This window comes from Homo sapiens, chromosome 11 (assembly GCF_000001405.40).
Source record: "Homo sapiens chromosome 11, GRCh38.p14 Primary Assembly".
Lineage (NCBI taxonomy): Eukaryota > Metazoa > Chordata > Mammalia > Primates > Hominidae > Homo > Homo sapiens.
In genome coordinates, this window is record NC_000011.10 from 62623013 (window position 1) to 62646831 (window position 23819).

A 23819-nucleotide genomic window follows, 5' to 3' on the forward strand; every position below is an offset into this window, starting at 1 on the left:
CCCCCAAAAAAAGTTTCTGGTAAAATAATCTCTGACTTGTGGTCAGTCTACAAAATGAGGGGAAGGGGGAACAGTATACTTCCTGTCACTAAAACAATGGGAAACTTTAAAAAGTGCTGTTAGCAGCTGGGCGCGGTGGCTCACGCCTGTAATCCCAGCACTTTGGGAGGCCGAGACAGGCGGATCACGAGGTCAGGAGATCGAGACCATCCTGGCTAACACGGTGAAACCCCGTCTCTACTAAAAAACACAAAAAAATTAGCAGGGTGTAGTGGCGGGCGCCTGCAGTCCCAGCTACTCAGGAGGCTGAGGCAGGAGAATGGCGTGAACCCGGGAAGCAGAGCTTGCCAAGAGCCGAGATCGCACCACTGCACTCCAGCCTGGGCGACTGAGGGAGACTCCGTCTCAAAAACAAAAACAAAAACAAAAGTGCTGTTAGCTACAAGCAGAAGCCTCTAGGTTGGGCACAGTGATCGATGCCTGTAATCCCAGAACTTTAGAAGCCTGGGAGGTCAAGGCTGCAATGAGCCAGGATCATACCACAGCACTCCCCGCACTCCAGCCTGAGCAATAGAGCGAAACTATGTCTCCTCAACCCCCGACATCCTCCAAAAGTTTAGTTTGAGAAACAGCTATCTGACCTTATGGCTATTTCTATCCAAGAGGGACTCCATTGGCTCTGATCACCACTTACTAACTAGGCCTACTAAAATGTGATGATCTTGCTGGGCTCTTCTACGAAAATATCTAGCAACCCAAGGAAGGCTTGCACTTGCTCATTTTGCTGAAATCAAGGATGCTCATGCTGGCCGGGAACAGTGGCTCATCCCTGTAATCCCAGCACTTTGGAAGGCCGAGGCAGGTGGATCACTTGAGGCCAGGAGTTCGAGACAACATGGTGAAACCCCATCTCTACTAAAGATACAAAAATCAGCCAGACGTGGTAGCAGGTGCCTGTAGTCCTAGCTACTTGGGGGCTGAGGCAAGAGAATCGCTTGAACCTGGGAGGCAGAGGTTGTAGTGAGCCGAGATCACACCATTGCACTCCAGCCTGGGCAACAGTGAGACTCCATCTCAAAAAAAAAAAAAAAAAACCCAAAAAGGATGCTTATGCTGAAGCCAAATGAAAATGTAAGGCCCATGGCCAGGCATGGTGCCTCACGCCTGTAATCCCAGCACTTTGGGAGGCCAAGGCGGGCAGATCACCTGAGGTCAGGAGTTCAAGATCAGCATGGCTAACATGGCGAAACCCCATCTCTACTAAAAATACAAAAATGAAGCTGGCCATGGTCGCAGGTGCCCGTAATCCCAGCTATTAAGGAGGCTGAGGTGGGAGAACTGCCTGAACCCAGGAGGCAGAGGTTGCAACGAGCCAGGATCACACACTGTACTCCAGCCTGGCGACACTCTGTCTCAAAAAAAAAAAAAAAAAAAAAAAGACCCAGGGCGCAGTGGCTCACTCCTTTAATTCCAGCACTTTGGGAGGCCGAGGCAGGCGGATCACCTGAGGTCAGGAGTTCCAGACCAGCCTGGCCAACATGGTGAAACCCCATCTCTAATAAAAATACAAAAATTAGCTGGGCATGGTGGCGCATGCCTGTAGTCCCAGCGACTCGGGAGGTTGAGGCACGAGAACTGCTTGAACCTGGGAGGCAGAGGTTGCAATGAGCCCAGATCATGCCATTGCATTCCAGCCTGGGCAACAGAGTGAGACTCAGTCTCAAAAAAGAAAAAAAAAGGAAAGCAAATGTAAGGTCTCTAGGCTTCTAGGGTCTGTGGCTCAGGCTAGAACTAGAATCCAGACTACCACCAGTTATTTATGGTTTATCCCTTTATTGTTTCTCCTTTGATCAAAACGTGTCACAGCTGGGAACCAAGAGGAAGTAAAAAAAATACCCACAAATATTCCCCGACTCCCCATTAGTCCTCCCCCAACCCCCCACCCAGGGCTTCCAGCCAACCCCGAGCACACATGATCATCTCCCCCCACCCTCAGGCTTCTCCTAGCAATAAATACAGGTGACCATGATTCACTGAAACCACAACTGATTTCTCCATCTTAAGTGCCCCTCAAAGGGGACAAGAAGGGGGCAAAAGAAGTTTAATGCGCATCCCCTAAGAGGTGTGGAAACGTCTTTCTGCCGAGGGACAGAGGAGGTAGAACTGCCCCTCTAAGAATTGCAGCAGCTCTACAAGGAATCGGGGAGAGGAAAAGGGTAGAATGAGAGGGAAAAGGATGTTCTTTAGCAACCTCACTCCTTTGATCCATTCATCCTGTCCGGGGTAAGGGGTGGTCCCAGTGTATCGGTGGGGCATAAAAAGGGGAGTAAAGCCTGGAGGAAGAAATGAAAGGTGGGAGAGCAATCTGGTGGGAGGGAAGGGGAAAAGGAGCCCTAACTCATTGCCCTCATCTTCTTCCAAGAAGTGGCATCAACATACAAGAGGCATGAATGGATAGACTCTGGGGGAGTTCAGGGCTCCTAAATAAGGGAAAGAGAAGGGGCGACAAGGGCCCTGTGGTTTCCTGGTGTTCGTAAGTGAATGTGCTCCAGTTAGAGCAACAGGATGTTGGGGGAATGAAGGGAAAGAGTTGGTATCAATGGAGTGGGAGAGGTGAGGAGATCACAAGAGGAATTTGGAGCCCAGGGTCAGCCCTCTCATCCTGCCCAAATGTTGGCAGAATCTGGGTCTTAGACTAGCATAAGTGAAGTCTGGGGAGGGCCGAACTCCAAGGCAGAAGAAAGAATATCTCTCAGCACTAATGCTCCCCTTCCCTCCCCCTAACCCAGAACATCCCTTGGGTTATCGCAGGTGAATACTCCAATCAGATGCCACATTGATGCCAGGCTTGCGCAGGACCAACACAGAGGTCTCAGGGTCATGCTGGAAGGACAGGCGGCTTTCTGGAGATCCTGGAGGAGGAATAAAAGAGTGCCATAGTCATACCAATGGGCTATAGCATAACAACAACGTTCCTACAGGCAAGGGCATCCCTAAACCTGCCCCGGCTTCCCCTCCTTCCCCCATCCTAGGGGCCAGATTGGTCACTCACCTTTTGTCTGGAGTACCACAGCTGCTGGCTTTCCAGCCCCTATTATCACCACCCGCTCAATCCAGATTGGTGTCTCAAAGTGTCCTTCAGGGTCTGCTGAGCTGGAGATGGTAAAAGCAGATGTCCATCAGGGGGAAAAATAACAGAACAGAAGGAAGGAGGAGACCCAAAGCAAGGTCAGAATGTGAGAAAAGAGCACAGTGAACTGGGAGCCCCCACAAGGATCAGGCCCCAGCAAAGGCAGCCAAGGAAGAGTGGGTGACCCATTACCTGGAGACAAGGGTGTTGCCAGAGAATGAGAATCGACGCAGCAGGAACTCTTGGCGAGTCTGATAGTTGAACGTGTGCCCATCATCCAGAAAGAGCTCTCCTTGAGCTGTACCCTGAGCAAGAAGTGGGATAGGTGAGCGCCTGAGCCCAAGAGGGAGTGAGGGGCACAACCCCAGAGAACTGAGTCCTAGGAAGGCAGGCAAATGGCTGAGGAGACTCGCTGCCTATGCACTTACCTGAGGGCTAAGTGCAACAAAGAGAGTGATGGGGTCATCCTTCATACATTCTGAAGACCGCCGCACTCGCATCCATCGAGGCACGATTGTCCCTCCACGCTGGAACACAGGGATCTAGGGCAAGAGCAATGCCAGGATGAAGTTGCCCCCTTGTCCAACCTTGGGCCCCACAGCATGTTTTGCTTACTCATGTATGCCCACATAGGTACTGGACCCTAAGGCACACATTCCCTCCCCTTCTGGAAATTTACAGGGAGATGGAACCGGCAGCCAGACCAGGCTTACTCACACTGCTTAGAGTTACAGGCAGGTACAGGGTCTGGGGACCATGATGCTTCTGGTAGCTTTGAATGTCATACCACACCTGTGAGTGACAAAAGAGGTAAGATACCGGATCACTCAGTGCACAGGGGTCCCGTCCTGTTTGCCTCCTTTGGCTTCCACCATCTTTCCCCACCATGCCCTTCCTTAACTCACCTCCCCTTGGCCAGGCAGATAGACCTGGACACCATGGGCTCCAGAGTCTGATACAGGGTGAACCAGCAACGCATCCCCTAAAATATGCCAGAATCAACTCTGAATAGGGGGATTAGTTCCCAGAACAGGGAACACCAAAGTGCCTGCCCTCTGCACCACCAGCTTCACTAGTCCCTCCCTGGGCATCCGCAGTGCTGCTTGGCCCAAAGCCAACCCACCACCAACTATCCTCATTTCTCACCAAGCAAGTACTGATCATCTATATTGAAGGTAGTCACATCCTGAGGGTACTGCACCCACAGGGGCCTAGGAAGGAAGAAAGACAATAAAGGAAAACTTTTCAATTTTGGCACAAGTCAGAAATGCTCCTCCAGGAACTGGCAATAAGAAAAGAACAGCATAGGCCGGGTGTGGTGGCTCACACCTGTAATCCCAACACTTTGGGAGGCCGAGGCGGGAAGATCACCTGAGGTCAGGAGTTCGAGATCAGCCTGAACAACATGGTGAAACCCCGTCTCTACTAAAAATACAAAAATTAGCCGGGCATGGTGGCAGGCACCTGTGATCCCAGCTACTCAGGAGGCTGAGGCTGGAGAATCACTTGAACCCGGGAGGCGGAGTGCATTCAGTGAGCCAAGATCACACCATCGCACTCCAGCCTGGGGGACGAGAGTGAGACTTTGTCTCAAAAAAAAAAAGAAAAGAAAAGAACAGCACAGGGGTTAAGACCCAGGAGTTTGCAGTCAGACAGTCGGGTTGGGGTTCAGGTCTCAGTTATACAATCCAGTCTTAGACATTTAACTTCCTAAGCCATCTCCCTGCTTCTTCTCTGCCCTCTACTGAAACCATGCTGCACAGCAGCCTGCCAGTAGCCTCCTTGCATGTTTCACCGCCCTGGCTTACAACCCTGGGTTGCAACCCTGGCTTGCAAGGCCCTCCAGGAGCAGATCACACTTTCTTCTTAATCTCATCTCCTAGCTCTCCTTCTGCTTCTTTACCCAAGACATACTGTTTTTTTCTATTCCTAGTACATAACAAACTAATTTCTCCTTTAGAATTTTTGTACTTGCAATTCCCTCTGCTTGGAAGATTCTTCCTACATAACATGGTCTGTCCCACTCATTCAGGCCTCATCTCACACAGCCTTCTTCTCAAAACTTTTTTTTTTTTTTTTTTTTCATTTTTTTGAGATGGAGTCTCCCTCTGTCACCCAGGCTAGAATGCAGCAGAGCAATCTCGGCTCACTGCAACCTCTACCTCCTGGGTTCAAGTGATTCTCATGCCTCAGCCTCCCGAGTAGCTGGGATTACAGGCGCCATGATGCCCAGCTAATTTTTGTATTTTTAGTAGAGATGGGGTTTTGCCATGTTGGCCAGGCTGGTCTCAAACTCCTGACCTCAGGTGATCTGCCCACCTCGGCCTCCCAAAGTGCTGGGATTACAGGTGTGAGCCACTGTGCCCGGCCTCAAAAAGGGATTTTATGACCACCTAATCCCATTACCCTGTTTTATTTTTCTGAAAGAGCTTATGACTGCTGTCAATTTTCTTTAAATGTTTACTATTATTCATCTCCATTAAGCTCCCCTTCACTCTTGACCTTAATGATTTTCCATCCTTTACAAGGCTGTAGTGAGTGAAGAAAGAGACCCAGAGATGAAGCCCAGTCCCTAATACCCCCAGCCACCTCAGCCCACTCTTCACAGCCCAAGTGAATGCCTCACCTCATGACAGGAATGCCTTCCCGATGGGCCTGATATAAGAGGGTGTACCAGAAGGGCAGCAAAGAATATCGCTGGCCCAAGGCATCTCGGATTATATCATTGTGCTGAGATGGTAACAGCCATGGCTCTCGTCGCCCAGTGTCCAAGTGGGCATGTGCCCGGAAGAATGGCTGGTAAGCACCCATCTGGTACCAGCGCACAAGCAGCTCTGGCTCTGGGTTTTTGAAGAAGCCACCCACATCCGCTGGTAGAGGAGAGAGAGGAAGCAGGTTGGAAAAGAGGGTGAAGGAGAGATACTGCTTGAGAAACTTCCCAAGGCCCTAACTTGGACTCTCAACTCTCTTTGCTTACAACACCTTGGTCCTGTGCCCTCTACTTTGCCCCTTTCCCACCAAACCAAGACCCCAAATTCCTCCCTGTCTTACCCCCACAGAAGGAAAGTCCCACCAGCCCCAAGCTGAGACACATAGGAATAGAGATCTTCAAATGGTCCCACTCGGCAGTGTTGTCCCCTGTCCACACGGCTCCTGAGGAAGACAAGAAGTGGGGAGCTTGCACATGGTAAAGGAGTTCAGCTTTTTACATGGCTGACCTCCCACATCCGCTCTGGGTCCCCAGAACCCTGCTGAAGATGCAGTTCACAAGAACATTTGAACAAGGAGTGGACCTCCCACACCCTGACTTCCTTCAAAGCGCATAGCTGAGAGGAAACAGATGCAGTGTGTGGCTCCCATTCCTCAGAGAGGCAGGTCCAGGTCCATGGCTCCTGAGATCTGGCCTTCACACCCTTCTGCCACAGCTCCATTCTCTAAACCTTACCAAAGCGCTGGGAGCCAGCGAAGAAGGCCCTGGCCAGGACAAAGGGGCGTTCCATGCCCCCAGAGCGCTGTCTCAGCCCATCAGCAGTCGCCATGTGCTGGGTGAGGAGAGAAGAGACGGGTAGTGAGGAGCAAAAGCCAGCTGTCATCTGGTGCAAGTTCCCTAGGCCCTCAGTCTCTGGGCTGTTTTCCCTCTTTCCACCAACTCTCCTCTCTCAGGCCCTTACCACATAAAGGCCATAGATGTTATGCACATCCCGGTGCTCCCAGCCCCCATAATGCTGGGCATCCTTGAGCATGGTGACCTCAGGACCATTGAACACAGATGGTTCGTTCATGTCATTCCAGACAAAGAGGTTGGGAGCTGAGCCCTGGGAACGTGGGCAGAAAATGGGGACAGAAGGACAGAGGGGAGGAAGAAGACAAACAGTGTCAGAGAAGAGAGCTCCTAGGAATCTAAAAAGATGCATTTTTCAGGGCCCTCCCCGGATCATCAAGGCCCCCTGATATGTTGCAGGCAATCAACCATAGAAGGGTTGGCAAGCCGAGAGAGATTCAGGGAGGCAGGTGGAACAGACAGACGCAGGTCATGGGGAGAGGCCTTCCCTACCTCATAATTGTCATAGCTGAACATGTTAGCCCACCAGGCCCTCATCGTGGGATTAGTGAAGTCAGGGTAACCAGCTGAGCCTGGGAGAAGTTAAGGGTGGCTCTCAATCCCCTAAGGGGCAAAAGAGCCACCATTCTACCCCGCTGGCCAATCAACTCTCCCTCAATTCTGGGTCTGCTTACCTGGCCAGCACCAGCCCTCATAGTCAGAGCCATCCCGGGTTTTAACATACAGCCCCAGGTTCCGCAGCTCCTCGTGAACTCGGTAGCCGGAGTCCACCTTGATGTGGGGGTCTACGATGGCCACCAGCTGGGGGCAAGGAACAGGGGTGTTCAGGTCTCTTTAAGGCTAAACTATGCTTCAGCCCTACCCTGAGAAGACCAAGCGTGACTGCAACCCCTTACCTTCCGCCTCTTAGAAGCCAAGCGCTCAAGCATGGTGCGGGGCTGAGGGAAGCGACTGGGGTCCCAGGTGAAATACCGCTTGCCATCAGCATGTTCAATGTCTAGCCAGATGACATCACAGGGCAGGTTGTGATCATCAAAGCCCTGATCCACTTCCAGCACATCAGCCTCGTCCCGGTAGTTCCAACGGCTCTGGTGGTAGCCGAGGGAGAAGAGTGGGGGCAACGCCTGGGTTCCTGCAGGTTCATGAGGGATGGGGGTCACAACGAGGATCAGGCCCAACACCCAGAAACTGAGGGAGGCTTGTGAACTAGAGGCAGGCTGAGGGGTATAAACCTAGAAAACAAGCTGGGGCACAGGATCTCTGAAAACACATAGAATCACCCGACAAGAAAAGAGCAGAAGAATGAGGCAGGGAAAACCATGTACCTGTGAGACTAGCATATTGCCGGAAAACATCAGAGATGGAGGGCCCCAGCAGCAGGAAGACGTCAATGATGCCAGTCTCTGACATCCAGCGAACATCTGTCTGTGGGGTCTCCCCAGAGCCCTGCAGGTAGTCCATCATCTTCCCAAACAGGGTCTGTATAGGTGACCACAAAGGGGTCAGACACCTCCTGCCCTCCCATTTTCCAACCCCAAGACAAAAAGTAGCAATTTTCTCCCAGAGTCCACACAGAGCTGGCTCATGTAAGCTGCTTTCGGTAAGACTAAACGGGGCCTCTTCAGTGAGGCTTTCCTAGACCACACTATCTAAAGCAGTACAGCCCCCACCCCTACCCCACCAGTTTGGGGTGGTTAAGTGCTAACAAAGACTCTCTTTCATGTCTTTGTTAGCACTTAATCACCCCAAACTCATCTTGCATTCTTTTTTTTTTTTTTAGACAGAGTCTCACTCTTTTGCCAGGCTGGAGTGCAATGGTGTGATCTTAGCTCACTGCAATCTCCACCTCCCCAGTTCAACCAGTTCTCCTGCCTCAGCCTCCCGAGTAGCTAAGACTACAGGCGCACACCACCACACCCAGCTAACTTTTGTATTTTCAGTAGAAACAGGGTTTCACAATGTTGGCCAGGATGGTCTCGATCTCTTGACCTTGTGATCTGTCCACCTCGCCCTCCCAAAGTGCTGGGATTAGAGGTGGGAGCCACTGCACCCGGCATCATCTTGCTTATTATTTTTATTTTTCAAACGTTTTTATAGAGATGGGGTCTCGCCATGTTGCCCAGGCTGGTCTCGAACTCCTGGCCTCAAGCGATCCTCTTGCCTCAGCCTCCCCAAGTGCTGGGATTACAGACATGAGCTATCATGCCCGGCCCCATCTTGCCTCCTTTGTTATGTGTTTAACGTGTCTTCCTCCCTGTGAGTCAGAACCTTTCTTTTTTTTTTTTCTGAAACAGAGTCTCACTCTGTCACCCAGGCTGGAGTGCAGTGGTGAAATCTCCGCTCACTGCAACCTCCACCAACCAGATTCATGCAATTAACCTGCCTTAGCCTCCCGAATAGCTGGGATTACAGGAGTCCGCCGCCACACCCTGCTAATTTTTGTTTTTCTAGTAGAGATGAGGTTTCGCCATGTTGGCCAGGCTGGTCTCCAACTTCTGACCTCAGGTGATCCGCCCACCTCAGCCTCCCAAAGTGCTGGGATTACAGGCATGAGCCACCACACCCAGCCCAGAACCTTTTCAACCTCAGTTAACACTATATCCCCAGCACCCAGAAGAGTACCTAGCACGTAACACACTGATAATAAGTGCATTCCGTCAGCCCAGAATAGGCAATGCCTTCCCTAAGAATGTGAGTGAGCGTGTCACCTGGGAGTGATTAGGGAACTCAAATGCTGCCCACCAGGCCCACAGCCCCTTCTTAAACCCAGTCCCCAAATAGCTAATGCCCCTAGTATACCTATTTGCCTCAAGGCCTGGAAGCTTCACTCCCTCCTTTTTCCCCGTGCCTGTGCTCTCACCTTCCCGGCAGTGTTGGAAGATATATCAACCCAGGTCTCTGCAGCATTGAGCCAGAAGATGCCCAAGTCGCGATGAGGGTTGTGTGCCAGGAGCACAGGCACAGACCCATACAAGGCCATTGGGTTGTACAGCTCATACTGGAACACATCCAAATTGTAGAGGCGATATGGCTCCCCACCCCTGCAGGCAAACAGACAGACTTGGGCTGCTAACTGGCCCCAGGCTGCGTTATATGCTAACACCACTCCACAGACACAGGTGAGAGATAAGCAAAGGCTCCTCTTGTCCTTTCTCAAAAAATTTTCTATCACCAAAGGTGATTCTGGACACAAGAAATGACCCATGCTTGCCTAGAGTATCCAATATGCACACCCATCTCCCTAAAGGCCTGACTCCTTCCTGCCCACCTCCATCTTCCTGATGTCACCATAGGACTCACTCAGTGACCTTCAGCCTCAGGTTGTCTGCATGCTCAGGGATCCCATAGACATGCTCCATGCCTGGCAGAGAGAAGTCCAAACCCACAGACATGGGGCCTGGAAGAAAAACAAACAAGCTTCAGAGCTTCTGCTTGGAAAGGAGCCCTGCACCCCAGCCCAAGGAACCCGAGCCCCTCACCATACGGCTTGCTGTCAGAGTGAGTTTTGAATGTCTCCTCCCAGGCTCCTGGCTCATCTTTCTCTGCCTTCCCCTGAGTCTCCTCTGGCTGTTAAGAAGAAAAGAGGACCACTCTCCAATCATACCAGTTCTCTCTTTCCCCGCTCCCATCAACTAAATCCCATCCCTGATGGGGAGACTAAGTTCAAGTTTCTCATGGGCCTCTCCCCTCCACCCTCCCAGCCAGCCCTATCCTCCAACCACCCACCCGCTCCAACTTGCCTTGTCGCCATCCCTGGGTGTTTCCTCAGGCTGGGCCCCATCGCCCTCAGCTGGGTCTTTTGATCCTTGCCTGGAAGGTAGGAGAGCTGTCTGCTCCAATCCAGAGGGGGCAGGGACGAGGGGCTAGTGGAAGGAGGGGTTGGGGAATAGAGAGCCAAGGGTCCAAAGGAACGAAGGCATTGGAGGAAGGGACTAAATGTTAAAGCTTGGAGAGGGAACCCACAATGAGCAGATAAGTTTGCAAAGGATGGGGAGAGAAATGAGAAAGGAAAATGAGGAATAAGTGCCACCAGGAGGCACAGGCCTGAACACCAGCCTCTGTCAACATCCCAGAAGAGAAAGGCAGAATGATTCAGGGGCCTGGGTTATGAATGCCAATCCTGGCTCTGTTGCCTCTACTGAGAGATTCTGGCCCCAAGTGCTCTCCCTGGGCCTCAGCCTCCTGGCCTGACACAATGGCTTTGCAAAGGCATGTGGGTCATACTATACCAAGCCTCTACAGACATACATAGGGACTTCAAGAGATTCTGCCAAAAAATGCTTTCAAGGGCAAGTAGCTCTGCCCAGAACCTCAGGTGCCCCTCAGCTGAGAGTCAGGAACCCCAGCAATAGGCAGCATCTCTCCATCCCCTGGCAAAGCAATAAGCTCCCTACATTCCCGAAGGACCTGACTTTCAGTATCTCACCTTCCTTCTTCTGGGGGCTCCCAGCCAGGGTAACAGGTAACAGGACCAGACATCACACAGCAGGGGAAAGTGGGGTGAGTGAAAGGCTGGAAGGGTCTGGGGCACCTCCCCCCAAAGGCTAGAGTGAGGAATGGGTAAGGGCAGAGGAACAGATACAGTACCGGTGGCCATGGATTTACCTAGAGAAAAGGTTCTTGATCTTATCCCATATGCTACCAAGCGTGAGATTAACCTTATCCGAGAAACTGGGGCAGGAGGAGATGGGTAGGGAAGGGGAAAAAGAGGCACAAAACCAACACAAAAACAGAAACATAAAAGTGAGTTTCAGTCGACAAACTTCCAGAGATGGGGGGAAAAAGAAACCAAAAAAAATAAATAAATAAAAACGAAGAAAATAAATCTGGGAAATGTGATGATGTGAGAAGGGGAAGAAGGAGACACAGACCCAGGCAGGCCTCCCAGAGATGCCCAGGGTACAGCTCAGGGACAAAAGTGACTGCCTCCTGGTCTGTACAGGAAATGGAAAAAACCGCACCCGGGTCTGGTTCCTACCCTCCCTGACAGAGAGCTTCTCCCAGCCCCCAGGCCCTACCTGGCTGTCCCACCACCGTCTCCTCCCCGTGCCAGACCTCACAACACCCCTATGCTCTTTCACACTAGGTTCCCTGCAGTCCCAACCCCTGTACTCACGAGACCCTAGGGGCCCTCTGATGCTCAAACTCCAAGAGTCCTCGGGCATTGACACTAAGCAAAAGACTTCGGTCCTCTAGTAGGTCAAGGCGGAATGGCCGTGCTGTCAAGATGATCTTGTAGGGTCCCTCAGCCATGGTTAACTCCACACTGTTCTCATCACGACCAGAGACAGAAAGCCTGGGAAACATATCAAAAGAAATATAAGGAAGTACAAAGGGCCAAGAGGAGTAATGACACTTTAGAAGACCGGGGGAAATCTACCTGTTAAGAGAAATAGGCAGTGTGGTAACAGAGCAGGGATAGACAAGTTAATAAACAGAACCAAAGGGCCCAGAAACAGACCCAAGCATATTTATTACTTTTTTCTTTTTTTTTTTTGAGACGGAGTTTCACTCTTGTTGCCCAGGCTGGAGTGCAATGGCGCAATCTCGGCTCACCGCAACCTCCGTCTCCCAGGTTCAAGCAATTCTCCTGCCTCAGCCTCCAAATAGCTGGGATTACAGGCATGCACCACCACACCTGGCTAATTTTGTATTTTTAGTAGAGATGGGGTTTCTTCATGTTGAGGCTGGTCTCAAACTCCTGACCTCAGGTGATCCACCCACCTCGGCCTCGCAAAGTGCTGGGATTACAGGCGTGAGCCACTGTGCCTGGCCACTTATTACTTTTTTAAATGTACTAAATACTAAGAGGTGGCATAGCAGATGAGAGAGGAAAGGAGAACTATTCAAAAATGGAACTGAAAAAACATTTTCCATATAGGAAAAAAAATGATTTTCCAAATATGAAGAAAAATGATGTACTTCTTTTTTTTTTTTTTGAGATGGAGTCTCGCTCTGTTGCCCAGGCTGGAGCACAGTGGCACAACCTTGGCTCACTGCAACCTCCACCTTCCAGGTTCAAGTGATTCTCCTGACTCAGCCTCCCTAGTAACTGATATTACAGGCAGGTGCCACCACACCCGGCTAATTTTTTTTTGTATTTTTAGGAGATATGATTTTTCGCCATGTTGGCCAGGCTAATCTCAAACTCCTGACCTCAAGTGATCCACTTGCCTCGGCCTCCCAAAGTGCTGGGATTACAGGCATGAGCTACCACGCCCAACCCCTTGATATCATATTTCTATCTAATACCAGATACAAGTATCAACTGCAGAAAGATTATGACTTAAAAAATTTTTTTTTCTTAAGATAGTCTCACTCTATCACCCAGACTGGAGTGCAGTGGCACAATCTCGGCTCATTGCAACCTCTGCCTCCCAGTTTCAAGTGATTCTTGTGCATCAGGCACCCGAGTAGCTGGAATTACAGGCGCCCACCACCACGCCCGGCTAAGTTTTGTATTTTCAGTAGAGACGGGGTTTCACCATGTTGACCAGGCTGGTCTTGTACTCCTGACCTCAAGTGATCTGTCCGCCTTGGCCTCTCGAAGTGCTGGGATTACAGGTATGAGCCATCACACCCAGCCTGCTTAAAATTTAAAAGTAAAAGCTTTAGGATGGGCTCGGTGGCCCACTATTGTAATCCCAGCACTTTGGGAGGCCGAGGCAGGTGGATCGCTTGAGCCCTGGTGTTCAAGACCAGACTGGGCAACATGGCAAAAACCCATCTCTACCAAAAATACAAAAATTAGCCAGTCTCATAACCCGATCTCAAAATAAGTAAATAAATGAAAGCAAAAGTGTTAGAAGAAAATTAAAAAATATATTTTTGGCCAGGCATGGTGGCTCATTCCTGTAATCTCAGCACTTTCGGAGGCCGAGGCAGGTGGATCATGAGGTCAGGAGTTTGAGACCAGCCTGGTCAACATAGTGAAACCCTGTCTCTACTAAAAATACAAAAAGTAGCCGGGTATAGTGACGCACGCCTGTAGTCCCAGCTACTTGGGCATAGTGGCATGAGCCTGCAGTCCCAGCTACTCGGGCATAGTGGTGCACGCCTGTAGTCCCAGCTACTCAGGCATAGTGGTGCACGCCTGTAGTCCCAGCTACTCGGGAGGCTGATGCTGAAGAAAGAATCGCTTCAACACAGGAGGCGGAGGTTGTGGTGAGCCAAGATCGCACTACTGCACTCAGCCTAAGCAACAGAGCAAGACTCTGTCTCAAAAAATATATATATATATATTTTTTTCTGACCTTGGGGTAGATAAAGACTAAATACAACAAACAAAAGGCTAACAACAGAAGGTAAAAGACTGATACATCTAAATACATTAAAATTAGGAATTTCTGTTTATCAAAAGTACCTTTAGGATCATTAAGAAAAAGGAAAAGTCTAAGAAATTTTATCAGTCTAGAGGGCCCTAAGGAAACATGACAACTAAATGTAATAACATATCCTGGATGAAATCCTGGAACAGAAAAAGAACATACACAAAAACTAAAGAAACCTCAAGTATGAACTTTAGTAACTAATGTATCACTATCAATTCACTAGGTATCACAAATGAACCATAGTCATATTAATAATAGGGAAGGCTGGCCGGGTGTGGTGGCTCAAGCCTGTAATCCTAGCACTTTGGGAGGCTGAGATGGGCAGATCACGATGTCAGGAGATCGAGACCATCCTGGCTTGCCCAGCTTCAATGAGGGCTTCTTATAAATCACTGGTGGAAGTGTAAATTGGTAAACCACTTTGGCTTTATCTTGCGAAGCTGATCATCTCCATATTCTACAATCCTGCAATTCCTCTCCTAGTTATACACCAAAGAGAAACTCCCAAGCAAGGATAACAGGAGACATGTACAAGAAGGTTCGTAGCAACACTTTGGCTAGCAAAACACTGGAAACAACCCCAAGGCTTATCAACCTAAAAATGGATTAATCAGTTGGGGTATATTCATACAACATAATAATATGCAGCAGTAAAAATGAATGAACTAGAGCTATATGAAATGGAATTAAATAAAGTTATGTGAAAAACGGAAACCCAGCCGGGCGCGGTGGCTCACACCTGTAATTCCAGCACTTTGGGAGGCTGAGGCGGGCGGATCACGAGGTCAGGAGATTGAGACCATCCTGGCTAACGCAGATCACGCCACTGTACTCCAGCCTGGGAGACAGCGAGACTCCATCTCAAAAAAAAAAAAAGAAAAAACGGAAACCCCAGAAGACCACATGCACTAAGACACTTCCTCTGTAAAGCTCAAAAACAAAAAATATATATAATTTATTGCTTAGGCACACAGACATATGTGTGCATATGTATACACACATAATACAACTGTAAGAACAAAAAAAAGGCAAAGGAAGGATAAGCTTCAGAATAACGACTACCTACGTCTGGAGCCGTCAAGGGTACAGGACAGTGCGGGTTGGGCTGAGTGAAGAGTTTATAGGGTGGAGTATTTGAGACGGAGTCTCACTCTGTCGCCCAGGCTGTAGTGCAGTGACACAATCTCGGCTCACTGCAACCTCTGCCTCCTGGGTTCAAGTAACCGTCCTGCCTCGGCCTCCTGAGTAGCTGGGATTACAGGTCCGCACCACCACACCTGGCTGATTTTTGTATTTTTAGTAGAGATGGGGTTTCACCATGTTGGCCAAGCTGGTCTCCAACTCCTGACCTCGTGATCTGCCCACCTCGACCTCCCAAAGTGCTGGGATTACAGGCGTTGAGCCACCATGCCCGGCCACTATGTTATTTTCTGAATTATGTATTTAAGAGAAAGTCATGGATGGATGCATGGAACACTGGTGACAGAGTATCATGACACAAGAATCTGAGTAATCCTATTCTGAATATCTAAGGAAAAGGAAAGGAGGAAGGAAGGAAGGAAGGAAGGAAGGAAGGAAGGAAGGAAGGAAGGAAGGAAGGAAGGAAGGAAGCAAGCAAACAAGCAAGCAGGTAGACATTGTATTCCTGGAGAACGAGATCTGTAAATAAACAGGGCCTTGTTTATTTCTGCTTATATAACCAGCATCCAGCCCAGGCCTGTCAGGGAGGAAAAAGCAATAATTGTTTGCTGAATGAATGAATGAGGATAAAGGGATAAAGAGAAAAGTGAAACAGAAGAAGAGGTGGGGAAAGGTTGAGGAGTATGGCAAGGTGCTATGCTAGTTAACTACTACCTTATTTTGGGAAAGAATATCAGCAACCAAAAAAAGGTTCATCAGGAAGGAGAAAGGGGCCACAGAAATGGATGTTTCTCAGGAAAAATTTACCGGGCTATTGGTGGATCAGCCACCAAAACATCTGGTACACGGTATCGGGGTCGCCGAGGCTCCAGCTCATCAATCCTGAACCGAGTCATGTTCTTTTGAAGCCCCTGAAGCTCTAGCACCAGCAACACCTGCGGGGACAGAGGTTTGGATCTGGAGAAAGGAAATGGGATACACCATGGAATGCTCTTTGAACCCATTCTCTCCTAAGGGGTTTCTTCCTTTGAGCCCTTTGCCTAAAGGCCAAGATCACATTTCTTCATAAAGTAAAAGTCCAAAGATTAGGCTGGGACAAGATGTTGGCCACAATTTCCCCCTTTCCAAATTACCCCACAGCCATTGCCCCACCCCCACCAGACTCTTCCTTGTCTCTCCTGACCTTGGTGACCTCATGGATCAGATGGACCGTGAGGGAATCAGGACCAAGCTGTAGAGAGTCCAGCAAGGCTCGGTATGGAGAGAGGCCTGGCCGTATGCTTCTCTGTCGCCTGCCAAGTGAAGGGTTGGGAAGTAAGGTAAAGGCCACCTGCAATGTCCCTAAGTCAGTCTATCACCTGCAGTGTCCTTAGGCACTCCATCTGCCACAGATATCTCCCACATTACCCTACAACCCTACATTCCATCCCTCTCCCCCAGAAATATCATACTTGCAGAAAGAACTCTCTTCACAGGTCTTAAAGTTGCTTCTATCCACAGCAAGGGTAATCCCCAGGCAGACCCCTAAAAAAGCCAGTACCAAAGACGCCCAAGACCTAAGGAGAAAAGGACAAAGACAGAGCAATCAGCATGGAGGTCAGAAGGGGCCCCCTTCAAAAGGAAAAGCTTCTTCCTGTCATAGCACTAGAAGATAGTTGAGGAAAGAGGGGAGAAAGATGTAGTCACATCAAATACAAAACAAGGCAGAGTGGACACAGGGTTAAGGATCAGGCCTGAGAAGTTGGCTCACTCACACCTTCCCTTTGAAAGGCAGAGTAGGCTGGGCGTGGTGGCTCACTCCTGTAATCCCAGCACTTTGGGAGGCTGCGGCGGGCGGATCACGAGGTCAGGAGATCAAGACCATCCTGGCTAACACGGTGAAACCCTGTCTCTACTAAAAATACAAAAAAAATTAGCTGGGCGTGGTGGCGGCCACCTGAAGTCCCAGCTACTCGGGAGGCTGAGGCAGGAGAATGGCGTGAACCCAGGAGGCGGAGCTTACAGTGAGCCAAGATCGTGCCACTGCACTCCAGCCTGGGCGACAGAGCTAGACAAAAAAAAAAAAAAAAAAAAAAAAGCCAGGCGCGGTGGCTCACGCCTGTAATCCCAGCACTCTGGGAGGCTGAAGTGGGCGGATCACGAGGTCAGGAGATCGAGACCATCCTGGCTAACACAGTGAAACCCCGTCTCTACTAAAAATACAAAAAATTAGCCGGGCGTGGTGGCAGGTGTCTGTAGTCCCAGCTACTTGGGAGGCTGGAGCTGGAGAATGGCATGAATCCGGGAGGCAGAACTTGCAGTGAGTCAAGATCGCACCACTGCACTCCAGCCTGGGTGACAGAGTGAGACTCCATCTCCAAAAAAAAAAAAAAAAAGGGCCGGGTGCGGTGGCTCATGCCTGTAATCCCAGCACTTAGGGAGGCCAAGGCTGACAGATCACGAGGTCAGGAGTTTGAGACCATCCTGGCTAACACGGTGAAACTCTGTCTCTATTAAAAATACACAAAATTATCCAGGCGTGGTGGTGGGCAGCTGTAGTCCCAGCTACTCGGGAGGCTGAGGCAGGAGAATGGTGTGAACCTGGGAGGTGGAGCTTGCAGTGAGCTGAGATCACTCCACTGCACTCCAGCCTGGGCGACAAAGTAAAACTCCCTCTCAAAAAAAAAAAAAAAAAAAAAGGCAGAGTACACAGAGGATCTTTCACCTTCAGAGGCCCTGGTGTTGACTCTGGTGACATCAGCCTCTCAGAGGAAAGGAGCAGTAACAGCCAGTCTCAGAGGAAATGGTAGTACCATATGCGTGGAACAGAGAAACAAAGCAAGCCACATCTTTCTATCGGCAAGGCATTGGGTGGATGCAAAGTTAAAGAGCTAAACATGAAGGCCGGGCGCAGTGGCTCATGTCACGTCTGTAATCCCACCACTTTGGGAGGCTGAGGCGGGTGGATCACTTGAGGTCAGGAGTTCAAGACCAGCCTGGCCAACATGATGAAACCCCATCTCTACTTAAAATACAAAAATTAGCTGGGCATGGCGTTGAGCATCTGTAGTGACAGCTACTCGGGAGGCTGAGGCATGAGAATCGCTTGAACCCGGGAGGCAGAGGTTGCAGTGAGCCAAGATTGTGCTACTGCACTCCAGCCTAGGTGATGGAGCAAAACTCTCAGAAAAAAAAAAAAAAAAAAGATGTACCCTCAGCTAGCCTGCTGGTTACAGTTCCTAGGGTCCTAACATCCCTAGCACCCTAGGCAGCCTGTTTCTCTGATTTCTACTCCTGTATCTTCAAAACACCACCATCACTACCCAAAGCTGAAAAAAAATAACAATAGCTAAAATGTTCTGAGCCCTAATGCACCCCTAGGGGCCTGGGTAATCACTTTATATTACTAGTTTTTAATACTGCCTGCAGTTTTTGTTTTTTGCTTTGAGACAGTCTCACTCCATCACCCTGGCTAGAGTGCCATGGCATGATCTCAGCTCACTGTAACCTCCGCCTCCCAGGTTCAAGCAATTCCCATGCCTCAACCTCCTAAGTAACTGAATTACAGGAGCACGCCACCATGCCCAGCTAATTTTTGTATTTTTGGTAGAGACGGAGTTTCACCATGTTGGCCAGGCTGATCTTGAATTCCTGACCTCAGGTGATCCACCTGCCTCACCCTCCCAAGTAGCTGGGACTACAGTTGCTCGCCACAGCACCCAGCTAATTTTTAAAAAGTTGTGGTTTTTGTTTTTTTTCTGGCCAGGCGCAGTGGCTCACACCTGTAAACCCAGCACTTTGGGAGGCCGGGGTGGGCGGATCACAAGGTCAGGAGTTCGAGACCAGGCTGGCAAAGAGACCAGCCTGGCCAATATGGTGAAACCCCATCTCTACTAAAAATACAAAAATTAGCCAGGCATGGGAGCAGGGGCCTGTAATCCCAGCTATTCAGGAGGCTGAGGCAGGAGAACTGCTTGAACCAGGAGGTGGAGGTTACACTGAGCAGATCATGCCATTGCACTCCAGCCTGGGCAACAGAGCGTGACTCTGACTCAAAAAAAATAAATAAAAATTTTTTTTGGTAGCAACAGGGCCTCACTTTGTTGCCCAGGCTGGTCTTAAACTCCTGGGCTCAAGCAGTCCTCCCATCTTGGCCTCCCAAAGTGTTGGGATTATAGTGTCAGCCACTGTGCCCAGCCTGCCTGCAGTTTTTAACAATATCAGTGACCTGGTCTCACTTCTAAAAATTTTAACTTAATCAGAGAGAAGCCTGGGCATCAGACTTTTTTTTTTTTTTTGAGATGGAGCCTTGCTCTGTCACCCAGGTTGGAGTGCAGTGACATGATCTCAGCTCACTGCAACCTCTGCCTCCTGGGTTCAAGCGATTCTCCCGCCTCAGCCTCCCGAGCAGCTGGGATTACAGGTGCCCACCACCATGCCCAGCTAATTTTTTGTATTTTTAGTAGAGACGGGGTTTCATCATGTTGGCCAGGCTCGTATCGAACTCCTGACCTAGATCCGCCCGTCTCAGTCTCCCACAGTGCTGGGATTACAGGCGTTGTGTCATCGCGCCCCACTGGCTAAAGTTTTTTTAAAGTTCCCTAAACAACTCTAATGAGCAACCTGGGTTCACAACCACTTCTTTACATGCATCTTCTTTTCCCTTTCTTCCATTGTTTTCTTGGTGAATATAGGGTTGGGGTTTATTTCCAGATGGGAAAATTAAAGCATAAAAGGTTGAATAGTTCACCCAAGATTAAATAGCTGGTAAGGGATGAAACGAACTGAACCCAGTTGTGCTTGACTCTGGGGCCCATGTGCTTTACCATGATGCACAATACAGCACACTAATCACTAGCAGGATGAAATGGGCCTGTCTCATTGAGGACCATCATCCCAAGGTTATCACGAATTGTCAATTTCCCAATGTGCTATGAAATGACAGATAAGAGACTAATAGGCTTATTTAAATAAGTTAGTTTGAAGAATATATTCATCCAGGATTCATCCTTAGGATTCTGAATAAATCCTAAACAGAGATTCTCAAATTTTAATGTCTGTTAAGAATCAGCCAGGCATGGTAGCTCACACCTATAATCTTGGCACTTTGGGAGGCCCAGGTGGGCAGATCACGAGATCAGGAGTTAGACCAGCCTGGCCAACATGGCGAAACTCCATCTCTACTAAAAATACAAAAATTAGGCCGGGCGTGGTGGCTCACACCTGTAATCCCAGCTCTTTGTGAAGCTGAGGCGGGTGGATCACCTGAGGTCAGGAGTTTGAGGCCAGCCTGGCCAACATGATGAAACCCCGTCTCTACTAAAAATACAAAAAAAAAATTAACAGGGCATGGTGGCACACGCCTGCAGTCCCAGCTACTCAGGAGGCTGAGGCAGGAAAATTGCTTGAACCCGGGAGGCAGAGGTTGCAGTGAGCCAAGGTTGTGCCACTGCATTCCAGCCTGGGCGACACAGCGAAACACCACCTAGAAAAAAATAGATATATACAAAAATTAGCCAGGCGTAGTGGCACATGCCTATAATCCCAGCTACTGGGGAGGCTGAGGAACGAGAATGGTTTGAGCCTGGGAGTCAGAGGTTGCAGTGAGCTGAGATCGCACCACTGCACTCTAGCCTGGGTGACAAAGTGTGACTCTGTCTCAAAAACAAGAAAAAAAAGTTGCCCAGGCTTGTCTTGAACTTCTAGGCTAAAGCCATCTTTCCACCTTGGCCTTCCAAAATGCTGGAATTACAGGCGTGAGCCACTGCACCCACCCTGGATACCGCATTTTATTTTTAATTTTTTTTGAAACTGAGTTTCACTCTTGTTGCCCATGCTGGAGTGCAATGGCACGATCTTGGCTCACCGCAACCTCTGCCTCGCGGGTTCAAGCAATTCTCCTGCCTCTGCCTCCCAAGTAGCTGGGATTACAGGCGCGTGCCACCACACTCGGCTAATTTTGTATTTTTAGTAGAGACGGGGTTTCTCTGTGTTGGTCAGGCTGGTCTCGAACTCCCAACCTCAGGTGATTCGCCAGCCTCGGCCTCCCAAAGTGCTGGGATTACAGGTGTGAGCCATCGTGCCCGGCTGACACCACATTTTAAACATGCTCTCCCAGTGACACTGATATGGGCAGAATACGAGCATACTCTGAGAAAGTGTTTCAAACTGGGGGTGGGAGGGTTCTTCTAAGCAATAAAGTTTTACAACCAGCCAGGCACAGTGGCTCACGTCTATAATCCTAGCACTTTGGGAGGTCAAAAAGGGAAGATTGGGCAACACAGCAAGACCTCGTCTCTACTTAAAAAAAAAAAAGAGTAGCAAGGCATGGTGGCAGGTGCCTGTAGTCCCAGCTAATCAGGAGGCTGAAGCCGGAGGACTGCCTGAACGCAAGAGTTTGAGGCTGCATGAGCTACGATTGCACCACTGCTCTCCAGCCTGGGCCACAGCACAAGACTCTGTCTCAAAAAAGTAAATTAATTAAGACTGGTCAATGGGGTGTCTACTAAAAATACAAAAATTAGCTGGGCACGGTGGCACACGTCTGTAATCCCAGGACTCGGGAGGATGAGGCAGGAGAATCGCTTGAACTCGGGAGGTGGAAGCTGGAGTAAGCCGAGATTGCACCCCTGCACTCCATCCTAGGCAACAGAGCGAGACCCTGTTTCAATAAGTAAACAAACAAATAAATAAATAAATAAAATTTGACAACCTATAATAAGGTAACTAAAGACAGGGTCTATTATACACATTGTATCTAGTTATCTAGCATTAGCTTCAGCATCTGCTTGAAAGCTAAAAGAAAATTACCAGAAATGAGATCACAGAGTGTACTATGATCTCATCACAGGACTCTCCTCCAGCTCCAGAGGAATGTACGAAACAACTGTTCCACAGCAGGCCAGACAGAAAAATGAAGAAAACACTAGGCACTGTGGTTTAATAGGCCAAGCAGAATAAATGCTACCACAAAACTCCATAGCAAGGCATGCGGCACAGGTCCTGCAGTGAGTGACCTGAGTGACTGCAACAGGCACTCTTGGCCACTGACCCACGTCCACCTGCCAAAAGCAGCAGTAAATAGAAGTACAGTGAGTTGAGGCCGGGCGCGGTGGCTCACGCCTGTAATCCCAGCACTTTGGGAGGCCGAGGCGGGTGGATCACGAGGTCAAGAGATCGAGATCATCCTCACCAACATAGTGAAACCCCGTCTCTACTAAAAATACAAAAAAATAGCCAGGCGTGGTGGCGGGTGCCTGTAGTCCCAGCTACTCGGGAGGCTGAGGCAGGAGAATGGCGTGAACCCAGGAGGCGGAGCTTGCAGTGAGCCGAGATCTCGCCACTGCACTCCAGCCTGGGCAACAGAGCGAGACTCTGTCTCTCAAAAAAAAAAAAAAAAGACGTACAGTGAGTTAAATACCCTCTGGGGCCCTATTTGCACAGTCTGTAAAATTGGTTCGGAAAGATGCCAATGGAGATAGGATTCCTAAAGCATCTTTCAGATATGACCTGTTGGAGGGCCCTAAGGAATTCACGGCGGCCTTGACCACCCCAAGAGAGGTGTTCATAGGCCAAAGTCAGGAATAAGCTGCAGGGCAAGTTGCACGCATTTATTGTTTCAGATCACAGGCTCCGAGGGAACTGAGTTTATGATCCACGCTTTCTTCATCGCTTTGGAGAGTACACGCCTACCCCACCCCAGTATATCCGTTAGGTCCTAGTAAACATTTGTGGCACTGGTGATATGTTTCGAATCTTTTTTTTTCCCCAGTAATATAAACCCGAGAGCGTGGACCAAGCCATTCGATTACATGTTGTGTTTGAGCAACACCATCCACGCCGTGAGCTTACTGGACCCTGGGCCGTGCCCAGCGACCGTGGACACTGAACTAAGCCAGAGCTGGTGCTCACGTGAAGACAAGGGCAGAGGAGGATTCGGAGCTCTACAGGGTAGAGCCAGAAGGGTAGTACAGGCTTAACTGCTGGCCCGGTGCTTCCAGCTCAGCCGAGGGGCCGCGGGGCCGCAGGCTGCATTCCCCGAGGCCAGGCCGCATCTTTTCCCCCGCCCCGACGACCCCGCGCACTGCAGGAAGGGGGCGGCGACGTTGACCGCCGCAAGCAGCCAAAGGAGGGCGGCGGCTGAGAGCGGCCAAGACCAAGAAAGACGCACAGCTGTGGCTTTACTAAACCGCCGGGCGGGAGCCCGGAGCCCCACAGGCAAGGCCCCCAGCGTCGCTCGGATCTACCACGGGGAGACCGGAGGCGTCTGAGGCCGCCTCCAGAGGAACAAAGGTTCCTCACGAGGCCGGGGGTGGCAGAGTGTCAAGAGACACACAGGAAGGAGTGGAATGGGACTTGGGGGATCTGGGGGCGTCCCGGGCGCGCCCCCAGATTCCGGGCTCCTCACCGCCTCCTACGCGCCGCCACTGCCGCTACCGCCGCCATCTTGTGCAGAGTTTGCTCCTTGACCCCAAACCTCCCGCCCCATCGCGCGCGCTCAGCCACGTATCCTAGTTCCCGCCCCTTCCGGCCTTATGATTGGTTCGACCTGAGCGCCGCCGGGCAGCTGTCTCATTGGTAGAGTGCGCACTCCAAATTATCGCAGGGGGCGGGGCTTCAGGCCAGGGGCGGGAACGTCCAGAGCCAGGCGCTGTCAGACTTTGCACGCTCTCAGCAT

The 23819-nt window shown here is 50.1% G+C and overlaps 1 protein-coding gene across 10 annotated transcripts, besides 4 other annotated features; it reads right to left on the reverse strand.

Moving 5' to 3' along the window:
- Nucleotides 1503-1828: a silencer, noted in NCBI's record as "fragment chr11:62391987-62392312 (GRCh37/hg19 assembly coordinates)". NCBI's record gives its function as "represses an EF-1alpha promoter that drives an FKBP-Casp9 reporter gene in an ReSE screen in HepG2 liver carcinoma cells {active_cell/tissue: HepG2}" and the evidence as "EXISTENCE:reporter gene assay evidence [ECO:0000049][PMID:32094911]".
- Nucleotides 1817-23601, reverse strand: GANAB (glucosidase II alpha subunit). Of its 10 annotated transcripts, none has more exons than NM_198335.4 (25): nucleotides 23550-23601; nucleotides 16615-16719; nucleotides 16347-16455; nucleotides 15971-16098; nucleotides 11809-11988; nucleotides 11298-11363; nucleotides 10433-10502; nucleotides 10172-10259; nucleotides 9993-10089; nucleotides 9553-9733; nucleotides 8018-8171; nucleotides 7589-7824; nucleotides 7367-7493; nucleotides 7185-7264; nucleotides 6802-6945; nucleotides 6576-6672; nucleotides 6182-6283; nucleotides 5757-6000; nucleotides 4277-4341; nucleotides 4036-4112; nucleotides 3848-3922; nucleotides 3559-3672; nucleotides 3323-3435; nucleotides 3053-3153; nucleotides 1817-2912 (listed from the first exon to the last, which is right to left on the reverse strand). In NM_198335.4, exons 1-25 carry the CDS (start codon nucleotides 23585-23587, stop codon nucleotides 2803-2805), a joined length of 2901 nt encoding a protein of 966 aa, NP_938149.2. In that variant the 5' UTR covers nucleotides 23588-23601; the 3' UTR covers nucleotides 1817-2802. The 10 variants fall into 10 exon arrangements, with proteins under 10 accessions (NP_938149.2, XP_047282605.1, NP_001316152.1 ...); XM_047426649.1 differs by lacking the exon at nucleotides 23550-23601 and adding an exon at nucleotides 16918-17206; NM_001329223.2 differs by lacking the exon at nucleotides 11298-11363 and having other exon boundaries at nucleotides 16619-16719.
- Nucleotides 21800-22607: an enhancer, noted in NCBI's record as "H3K4me1 hESC enhancer chr11:62412284-62413091 (GRCh37/hg19 assembly coordinates)". NCBI's record gives its function as "activates a minimal SCP1, AML or CMV promoter by ChIP-STARR-seq in primed H9 embryonic stem cells {active_cell/tissue: H9 hESC(primed)}" and the evidence as "EXISTENCE:reporter gene assay evidence [ECO:0000049][PMID:30033119]".
- Nucleotides 22923-23082: an enhancer, noted in NCBI's record as "active region_4833". NCBI's record gives its function as "activates an Ori minimal core promoter by ATAC-STARR-seq in GM12878 lymphoblastoid cells {active_cell/tissue: GM12878}" and the evidence as "EXISTENCE:reporter gene assay evidence [ECO:0000049][PMID:35858748]".
- Nucleotides 23693-23772: a silencer, noted in NCBI's record as "silent region_3422". NCBI's record gives its function as "represses an Ori minimal core promoter by ATAC-STARR-seq in GM12878 lymphoblastoid cells {active_cell/tissue: GM12878}" and the evidence as "EXISTENCE:reporter gene assay evidence [ECO:0000049][PMID:35858748]".